Genomic DNA, 10,189 nt, shown 5'->3' with positions numbered 1-10,189 from the left:
ACATTCATACACACACATACGTGTTTGCGTGTTTATTTTTCAAAAGAGTTGTAGTCCCAAGAAGGAGAACCCCCATAGCTTTCTTTTCTCTGTGTCTTCCTGCTGCCTGGCCCTGAACACGGACACAATCATAGGAAGTCTGCAGTAGAGCAGGATAACTAAAGAAGAAATGGCCGGGCGCAGTGGCTTATGCCTGTAATCCTGGCACTTTGGGAGGCTGAGGTGGGCAGATTATGAGGTCAGGAGTTCGAGACCAGCCTGGCCAACATGGCGAAACCCCATCTCTACTAAAAATACAAAAAATTAGCTGGGCGTGGTGGTGAGTGCCTGTAATCCCAGCTACTCGGGAGGCTGAGGCAGGAAAATCGCTTGAACCTGGGAGGCAGAGGTTGCAGTGAGCTGAGATTGCACCATTGCACTCTAGCCTGGGTGACAGTGCGCGCCTGTCTCAAAAAAAAAAAAAAAGAAAAAAAAGAAAAAGAAATGACACTGATTTTACACAATCTCTTCCAGAAAATAGAACAAGAGAAAATACTCCCCAGTTCATTTTATGAGGTCAACATTACCCTGAGACCAAAACTAAACAAAGGTATTTTAAGGAAAAAAACTACAGATCAATATCTCTCATGAACACAGATGTAAAAATCTTCAACAAAATATTAGCTGGCCAGGCGCAGTGGCTCATGCCTGTAATCCCAGCACTTTGGGAGGCTGAGGTGAGTGCAGCACTTTGGGAGGCTGAGGTGAGTGGATCACTTGGGGTCAGGAGTTTGAGACCGCCCAGGCAGGAGTACAGTGGTGTGATCATGGCTCACAGTAACTTCAAACTCCTGGGCTTAAGCAATTCCCCTACCTCAGCCTCCTGAGTAGCTGAAACTACAGGCACTACCATGTCCAGCTAATTTTTAAAAAAATTTTTTTAGAGACAGGGTCTTACTACGTTGCTCAGGCTGGTCTTGAACTCCTGGCTTCAAGTAATACCTCTTGCCTTAGCCTCTCAAAGTGTTGGGATTACAGGTCTGAGTGGCCCAGTCGGGCCTAAGAGTATTATTTTTCAAATTGTAAGTGAATTTTGAATTTTTGTCACATAGTTTTTCTCTATCAATCAATATCATCATTTGCTTTTTTTTTCCTTTTGAGACAGAGTCTCGCTCTGTCACCGAGGCCAGAGTGCAGTGGCGCAGTCTTGGCTCACTGCAACTTCTGCCTCCTGGGTTCAAGTGATTCTCCTGCCTCAGCCTCCTAAGTGTCTGGGACTACAGGCATGAGCCACCACGGCCGGCTAACTTTTGTATTTTTAGTAGAGATAGGGTTTCGCCATGTTGGCTAGGCTGGACTAGAACTCCTGATCTCAGGTGATCTGCCCGCCTCGGCCTCCCAAAGTGCTGGGATTACAGGTGTGAGCCACTGTGCCCTGCCTGATCATTTGCTTTTAATTCTTTAGGCTGTTAATATGGTGAATTACTATGATTGATTTTTGAATACTGAACCAGCCCTGTATTGCCAGGATAAATCTCACCTGACTATAGCATTTTTTAAAATACATATTCCTGAGTTCAATTGGCTAGTATTTTGTTTTTGTTTGTTTTTTCTTTTCTTTTCTTTTTTTTTGACATGGAATCTCACTGTCGCCTGGGCTGAAGTGCGGTGATGCAATCTTGGCTCACTGCAACCTCCACCTCCTGGGTTCAAGCTATTCTTCCTCAGCCTCCCGAGAAGCTGTGATTACAGGCATGCAATCCTGTCTCTTTAAAAAAAAAAAAAAAAAAAGACCAGGTGCAGTTGCTCATGCCTGTAATGCCAGCACTCTGGGAGGCTGAGGCTGGAGTATTACTTGAGGCCAGGAGTTCAAGACCAGCCTGGGCAACATGGCAAAATCTCATCTCTACTAAAAAAATACAAAAATTAGCTGGGTGTGGTGGCACATGTTTGTAATCCCAGCTGCTCGGGAGGCTGAGGCATGAGAATTGCTTGACCCTGGGAGGTGGAGGCTGATGTGAGCCAAGATCACACCCACTGCATGCCAGTCTGGGCGACAGAGGGAGACCCTGTCTAAAAAAACAAAGTGTGATACAGGTGAAATGACAGAATTACAGACAGCTAGGTCAATGGGACAGAATAGAAAGTACAGTAATAGACCCATGCAAATATGGCAAATTGATTTTTGACCAAAGTGCAAAGGCAACTGAATGGAGAAAGGATTCCTAGAATCATCAGACCTCTTGTGGAAAGAGAGCTTTACAAGAGTAAAAGCCCTGGAAGAAATCACAAAGAGAAAGGTCAACAGCCTTGCCAGTATAAGCGTTAAAACGGATGTGCATGTTATAAAAGTGTAACTGAAAAAAAAAAATTTTTTTTAAGTAACAAAGTTGGCCGGGCGTGGTGGCTTGCCTGTAATCCCAACAATTTGGGAGGCCAAGGCGGGTGGATCACCTGTGGTCAGGAGTTCGAGGCCAGCCTGGCCAACATGGTGAAACCCCGCCTTTACAAAAAATACAAAAATTATCCAGGCATGGTGGCACACGCCTGTAGTCCCAGCTACTTGGGAGGCTGAGGCAGGAGAATCGCTTGAACCAGGGATGCGAAGGTTGCAGTGAGCTGAGATCGCGCCACTACACTCCAGCCTGGGTGATAGAACGAGACTCCCTCTCAAAACAAAAAATTAATAATAATAAAGTAACATAAAGTAAAATTGACTCTTTCGTTGGTGTACAGCTTTATGAGTTTTAACACATGTATAGATTCCTAGAGCCAACAATGGTGTCTGAATAGTGGACATTCATATACAAAAAGAGAACTTCAACCTAAACATCACAACTTATACAAAAATTAGCTCAAAATGGATCATATATCTAAAAGAAATGTAAAATGATAAAACTTTTAGAGAAAAGTAGGAGAAAATCTTCATGACCTCAGTTTAGGCAGAGTTCTTAGGCTGGACACCAAAACCATGAGTTACAAAAGAAAACGATTGATAAACTGGACTTCATCATAAATAAAAACTTTTGTTCTATAAAAGACAATGTTAAGAAAATGAAAAAACCAGCTACAGACAGAAAGAAAATAGTTGCAAATCACATACTCAACAAAAGACCTGTATTCAGAATATATAAAGAACTGAAAGCACAGATCGGATCACCTCTCTTTGCCAGGCTAACTCTAATTTATCCTCAATTCAGCTCTCCGGGGAAGCTTACCTGACCACTTCACCTGCTTTGGGTTAGCTGCCACCCCTGAGTACTCCAGGGCAGTCAACCCTGTCTCAGAGCAGAGCTGAAATCATGTTGTGATTTCTTTGTATTTCCATCCCCATGAACCATAGGCTCCTTGACATTTTATTGTTTTGATAATCTCCATGGCCAGCACAGAGATATTGAACACAAAGTAGAACTCAATAACTTTTTTTTCTTTTTAGTGGCTGTTATATTTCCTGGTTATCTAGTTGTTTTTTTTTTTTGTTTTGTTTTGTTTTTTTTTTTTTTTTTTTGAGACAGAGTCTCACTCTGTCATCCAGGCTGGAGTGCAGTGGCACCACCTCGGATCACTGCAACCTCTACCTCCTGGGTTCAAGTGATTCTCCTGCCGCAGTCTTCTGAGTAGCTGGAACTATAGGCGCCCATCACCACGCCTGGCTAATTTTTGTGTTTTTAGTAGAGACGGGTTTTCACCATTTTGGCCAGGGTGGTCTCGAACTCTTGACCTCAGGTGATCCGCATGCCTTGGCCTCCCAAAGTTCTGGGATTATAGGTGTGAGCCACTGCACCCAGCCTCAGGCAATCCTCTTGCCTCAGCCTCCCAAATAGCTGGGATTACAGGCACACACCACTGTGCCTGGTGTCTAATTTTTTTGAGGAACTGGCATACCATTTTCCACAGCTGTTGCACCATTTCACGTTCTCAGCAGCAATGCACAAGGATTCCAATTTCTTCACATCCTCGCCAGTATTTCTACAATATTTTTGGTTAATTTTTAATCTTTTGCTTTAAATATATTTTCCCCAAAACTTCGTAGCTGTAGATTCAGGCTCATTCTAATTGCGGAAAACGTCTACCATATAAACTACTGGAAAGTCCTAACTGGCAAACCACATGGGCAAAACCGATTTACTTTCTATTGGGAAAGGTCTACATTCATTTTATATGTGTTTCCACAAAAACCTTCTGACTTCTCAATTTTAAGACAGACACAGCTGTGCCACGAATTTGCTGCCTGAATGAAATAAAATACCACCAGTCCCAGTATTTCTTCCTAGTGTCCTCTTTGCTTTACTTTCCAGGGGTTTTCTCTCAGGATTGATGGATTACCTGACAGTGGTGAGATGCAAGAGGTGAGGTCTCTATAAGCAAAACCTGTTTCAAATTGTCCCTGTAGTTGGCAACCCAGGAAGTTTTTATACTTAGGTATATTGCACCACATTAATATCTAAGATGTGTAAGAAATTCGTCTTTCAAGTGGGAGAATAACTGTGAAGAGGGATGTGAAAATAAAACTCCGGAAGAGAATGGAGGAAAAAAAAATAGTGAAGATGGCCAGGCACGGTGGCTCACGCCTGTAATCCCAGCACTTTGGGAGGCCAAGGTGGGTGGATCATTTGAGGTCAGGAGTTCGACACCAGCCTGGCCAACATGGTGGAACCCTATCTTTACTAAAAAGACAAAAATTAGCTGGGTGGTAGTGGCATGTGCCTGTAATCCCAGCTACTTGGGAGGCTGAGGCAGGAGAATCGCTTGAGCCTGGGAGGCGGAGATTGTGGTGAGCCGAGATTGCGCCACTACACTCCAGTCTGGGTGACAGAGACCTGCCTCAAAAAAAAAGTTAGTGAAGTTGACTCTCTTAAAAGTATACGTGCTCGGCTGGGTGAATGGCTCACATCTGTAATCCCAGCATTTTGGGAGGCTGAGGTGGGAGGCTCACTTGAGCCTCGGAGGTTGAGCCTGCAGTGAGCTATGATCAAGCCACTGCACTCCAGTCTGGGTGACAGAGCAAGACTCTGTCTCAAAAAGACCCAAACAAACATATGTGCCATGTACCTCCTGGAGTCTTCATTTATCCTTAGGGGTGTCTGTACCCCAGTTTAAAGATTGCTGCTGTAATTTATCATCCCCACAACCAGACATTATTATTATATGCAATCTGTGTTTGCTTAGTTTCCCCCATGTGTTCACTGATTTCTTTGTTCACCATTCTTGGAGATCTGCTTTTAGTTATTCTTTTTCTTCCTCTTGAAGTATGTCATCTTCTTGAAGTAAAGTCAGTCCCCTTTAGAACTGCCTTTGGTGAGGCTCTGTTAACAGTAAACTCAATTTGTTTTCTGAAAATATCTTAAAAGTTGTCTTAATTTCAAAATTCAAATTTTGCATTCTATTCTTATTTTAATATAAAGTAATATTTTAAATAACATACCATAGAGAGACAAAAAAAAACAAAAATTCTAAGCCTTATGAGTCATCGTAAGAGATAATCTGCATCTTCCACATGTTCTTAAACTGCACACAAATTGTAGGTGATTATAGCCCTAACTTACCTGTCCACACTGACTCCACAGTTTTGCAATTCCCAAAAATAAAGCAACAAGGAACAAATCTCCTTGGTTTTCTAAGTAGGTTCCAGTAAGAGCAGGTCAATATATTTTCTCAAATACTTATCTGTAAAGGAATTTAGTTTCTGTTTTTTTTTTTTTTTTGAGACAGAATCTCACTCTGTTGCCCAGTCTGGAGTGCACTGGCACGATCTCAGCTCACTGCAACCTCCACCTCCTGGGTTCAAACGATTTTCCTGCCGTAGTCTCCTGAGTAGGTGGGATTATAGGCGCCCGCCACCATGCCTGGCTAATTTTTATATTTTTAGTAGAGATGGGGTTTCACCATGTTGGCCAGGCTGGTCTTGAACTCATGACCTCAAGTGATCTGCCCACCTCAGCCTCCCAAAGTGCTGAGATTACAGGTGTAAGCCACCATGCCCGGTCAGAATTTAGTTTCAAAATGATATGTGTTAACTCAAAATGCTCTCTTGTAAGTGATAAAACTGGTTTCCTTATCTAAGCATTGGTGATATTAATATGGCTTCTTGACAAGTAATTCTTATACTTAGTAAGTATTCAAAATTTTGTTGAATGAATAATAAATGTATTTATATTAATTTACATGAGTTAGAATAGTCAACTGCCTCAATGTCAGGAAAAAAAATCCATTCATTTTGCTAAATAAAAAAGATAGGGAGAAGTACACGCCACCTACAAACTCAAGAGTAATGTTGCTTTATCTAGCCTCAGGGAAAGTATTTTGAAGTCAGGCAGTCTGGTTTCAGGCCTTGATTACACCACCACTGGGCTGGGACTTCTTCCTTAGCTGAAAGTACCTTTGGGCTGCTAGAGGCAGGAGGCAGAAGTGAAGAGGAGGGAGGTGTCAAGTCCCTTTACCAGTCTGCTTCATACAGAGCAATCTACTTTTATGTATTTAATATATTGGACTCCAAGATATTGCTTCAAAGAAAAAAAAGTTTGAAAACCACTGGATTAGAGACTCCAAGGTCTAAAAAGACTTCTCTATTGTGTATATTTAAATCACATCTTTGATATTGATTTAACTAAATTTTCAATATGTTTTTGTCAATCTAAAGTTTTTGAGAAGATTTTTAAAAACAACCAATTTCCTCAAAGATCAAAGTGGAAATATAAATAGGAAGTGTCTCAAAACTTTGCAAAGTCAGGATACGAGCTGTACTGAAGAGAAAACAAAGGAAAGAAACTGAAATAAAACAGATGACACATCTTTTTCAAATGTCACATTTAATGTTTTCACCACTGTACTTCAAATCTACATTGTACAAAGTGACCAGAAAGTGTGCCACGGTAATTGACCAACCTCTGAGATTGTACCTTTCACACCAGTGTCTTCTTGGGCTCTTTTGATACTAAACACGTTTCTCATTCAAGTGAATTGAAATGCTTCAGTTGGGTTGATTCTCAGGAGCCTCATAAAAAAAAAACAAAGATATTGCACCATCTTTGTTTAGTAATTCAATGTTTGTTTCTTTCACAGCAAATAATTACTTCATTGAAGTTAAAACTTCCAAACATAACTTATTAATAGTCTTCAAATTCAGCTCAGATCACTCAAGTTGAAAATACTCTGCTAAATACAGATAACTTACAATAACTTTAACAGTTAATTGTCCATAACACACACCAAGGTTTTTTCCTAGACCAATTTTAAGACGATCCATTAGTATTCCTTGTACAGGTGAAAAATGATCTTCAATTTTCTTGTCTTTTTATTTTTAATATAAAAGTTGGAAGGGACATTCAAGTTTCAAGTCTCCACACTGAACTCAAAAAAAAAAAATAGTCATCATCAGCATGTGGAGGTAAACAAGCCAAGTTGTATAACTCCAGGAGGTAGAGGCCTTCGATTTGTATTCATATGTACATATGCACAGAAGAATTCAGTGTTCCAACAGAAAAAAAGAACTTGTCAAAAAGTAATAAGTTATTTACTACTGTGACATTTCAAGACTCCCACAGCTTTGCCTAAGGACACAAACACATTTGACATAATTCCCTATGTGCCTTTTTTTGTGGCTTAAATTTTTTTTTAAATTTGTTTTTGTCTTTTATTATTTTTTTACTGTCCAGTGCAGGAAAAGTCTCACAAAATTTCACAGACCTAAAATGTGCAAGCTAGTTCTCTTTCTATACAGCAATATTGGGATTCTTTTGAAATTAGCCCAGAAATGAATTATTTACACACATGAAAGATGCATGCTTGGGGTTCTTTTATGTAAGAAAGAGCAGAAAAACTTCTAATAAAAATAGATTAAATATATATATATATATTTATACTGGGTAAGGAAAACAAAAGTTTAGTCTCTCCTAGTCACAAACTCATTCTCTCTACCCACAACATTGGATTTTAGACAGCACACATCACCATCACGGCTCTAATGAGAAGCTAATTATAGGGCTTGATCATTAGGTGGCATGCCCCTCCTCCCTACCCTCCCCCCAGGTGCAGCCACGATCAGCTCACGTGGCTCCATGATTGGTCGCAGGCAAGGTTCCTAGATTCTTTAGTTTTAGAAAACCCCAAATCTTTAGGAATGGCTCAAATATCAAAATGTATGACTGTCCTTTGTGTTTGTGTGTGTGTGTGTGTGTGTGTGTGTGTGTGAACAATCTCACTTCATTTTAGAAAAGAAAAACAAAACATAAAACCCCAAACTCCCAAATTTGGTTCAATTCTCTTTTGTTCTGAGGTGAGCCATAACAGCTGCACTAAATTCATAAAACATGTGCAACTCTGGGTAAAATATTTTTCTTCTAAAAGCACAACCACTTTACAAGATTAAAAGTCTAGTAACATTTCTAAATATTATTCATATCATACAAGTAGTGGTTGTTAATTTAAAACTTCATTAGTAAAATTACAGTACAAGCATGATTAACCTCCAGAATTGCAAATCCCAGACTCCAGTGGAAAGCTACATTACATCTTCAGTAGTACATTATCTTCCACCATCACTCCCACACCAGAGGAGATGGGGGCATCTCAGATGGCTGAGCAACAGTGGAACTGGAAGAAAACAGAGATGGAGAAATTAGTTGTAATGTCACAATGGACAAAAGGGTAATTCACTACTTCCTGTTTTCCTCTCTTCCTCTGAAAAAATTAATTCCACTTCTGGATTTTTATTTGTTTCTTTGAAGTTGAATTTATTCTAAGTTGCTTGTTTATGGACCTGTTATCTATGGAGAGGCAATCTGGTATAGTGGCTAATATGTAGGCTTGAAAACCACATGTCATTTACTAGTTGTATGGCCCTGAGCAAGTGCCTTAATCTCTTCTCATTTGGAAAGAAATAATGCTGTTTACCTCATAGGATACTGGGATGAATAAATGATAATAGATGTGAAGTATTTTCCACAGTGCCTACTTCAAAGTGTAAAGTAAATGTAGGTATTACAAGTAATAATTTCAATAATCAATCAGGAAAATAACCTTAAGGGATGTAGAATCATCCATTTAAAAGTAGCCTCTCAAAATACAGTGGCCTATTTTGAATGGGCCTTATAAGCATTCTTTTATCAAGTATTAATGGAGAAGTATAGGTAATCATTTAGCATTGGTGATCTAGATCTGTTATTGGCTTTTTCCTATGTCTAAGATTGCTAATTAGATTATAAACTTGAGAGGGAAAAGTGTAACCCCTTGTTTCCCCAAGGCCCAGGATCATTTGCACCTAAGCTGCTAAACTGCCTAACTGACTGGGTCACTGACTCTTAGGGGAAAATAGTAAAACAAAGTAATTTAAAACCACAGATAAGTAAAAGTGCAACTTAATTCCTTCTTCCAATAGAAAAATACATGGAAGAAATGAAAGTCACCTGATTTTGCAAATTTTAAGCATAAAATCTTGACTGTGGTCCAACAAATCCAACCAACTTTAATATGATTAAAGGGAAAGGGCAGCAGGAAGAGAGAAAAAGGAGAGGAGAAAGGCAGCGGGGAAGATAGAGACTGTGTGACCACTCATATCCGAATCCACCCTTTGTCCTGCTTTGTGATACTGGAGCCAGACCCTGTTCATGGTTCCCCTTTGCCACCTAGCTTAATGTTAGCTTTTGTCAACAGAGGGTGCTGGAAGGGCATTTGCAAGGCTGTAGCATCAGGAAGCAGTCTCCCTTCCTTGGTTTGTTGTGCCTGTTTTTGGTCATGTGGAAGGCTCAGCTTTGGTCCACCCGAACTCTCCTGGCAGGCAGTCTTTGATGGACCAGTTCTGGCCACACCTTCTGGCACACTTCCTCTTCTGCACCACCCTCGTGCTGTGTGTTCCAGTTCCTGTGGCAGCCATACCCTCTCCAAAGAGGTCCTTACATGAGGAACCTCTTCTAAATTCTTAATTCCTTTCTTGTTTACTCTCCCTCAGTCTACAGGGAGTGGCTGCTTTCTGCATTTGCTACTTCAGCAGCCTTCAGAATCCTCTTTTATGCCTTTTAGCAGTTGATCATCTTTCCTAGTTAACAGTTCTTATTACTGAATTTTCCCCGTTTGTATTCTAGGGAAGTGGTTTATTTCTCCCGATTAGACCCTGATCAATATATAAGGAGTTAAGGAAAAAGAAATCAAGAGAAGGAAAGGACAGACAGACAAGGAGAATGAAGCCTGGTAACTTCCAATGTAGGTTCATAGC

General features: G+C 40.3%; 1 protein-coding gene across 3 annotated transcripts in view, besides 1 other annotated feature; it reads right to left on the bottom strand.

Annotated features, from left to right (window-relative positions):
* The window catches only part of NLK (nemo like kinase), a 163,398-nt gene that overhangs the window by 2,922 nt on the left and 150,287 nt on the right, over positions 1–10,189 (bottom strand). For 2 of the 3 annotated variants that reach the window (NM_016231.5, XM_005257988.3), the window contains one exon: positions 6,772–8,571. In NM_016231.5, coding sequence (NP_057315.3) covers positions 8,517–8,571 — 55 coding nt within the window. In that variant the 3' untranslated portion in view covers positions 6,772–8,516. Of the gene's footprint in view, positions 1–6,771; positions 8,572–10,189 lie in introns of those variants that run through there. The other variant, XR_934482.2, reaches the window with a different exon arrangement.
* Positions 9,694–9,903: an enhancer, noted in NCBI's record as "active region_11919". NCBI's record gives its function as "activates an Ori minimal core promoter by ATAC-STARR-seq in GM12878 lymphoblastoid cells {active_cell/tissue: GM12878}" and the evidence as "EXISTENCE:reporter gene assay evidence [ECO:0000049][PMID:35858748]".

This window comes from Homo sapiens, chromosome 17 (assembly GCF_000001405.40).
Source record: "Homo sapiens chromosome 17, GRCh38.p14 Primary Assembly".
Lineage (NCBI taxonomy): Eukaryota > Metazoa > Chordata > Mammalia > Primates > Hominidae > Homo > Homo sapiens.
The sequence above is the reverse complement of the archived record's forward strand: the minus strand, read 5'-3'. Positions and strand labels throughout refer to the sequence as shown.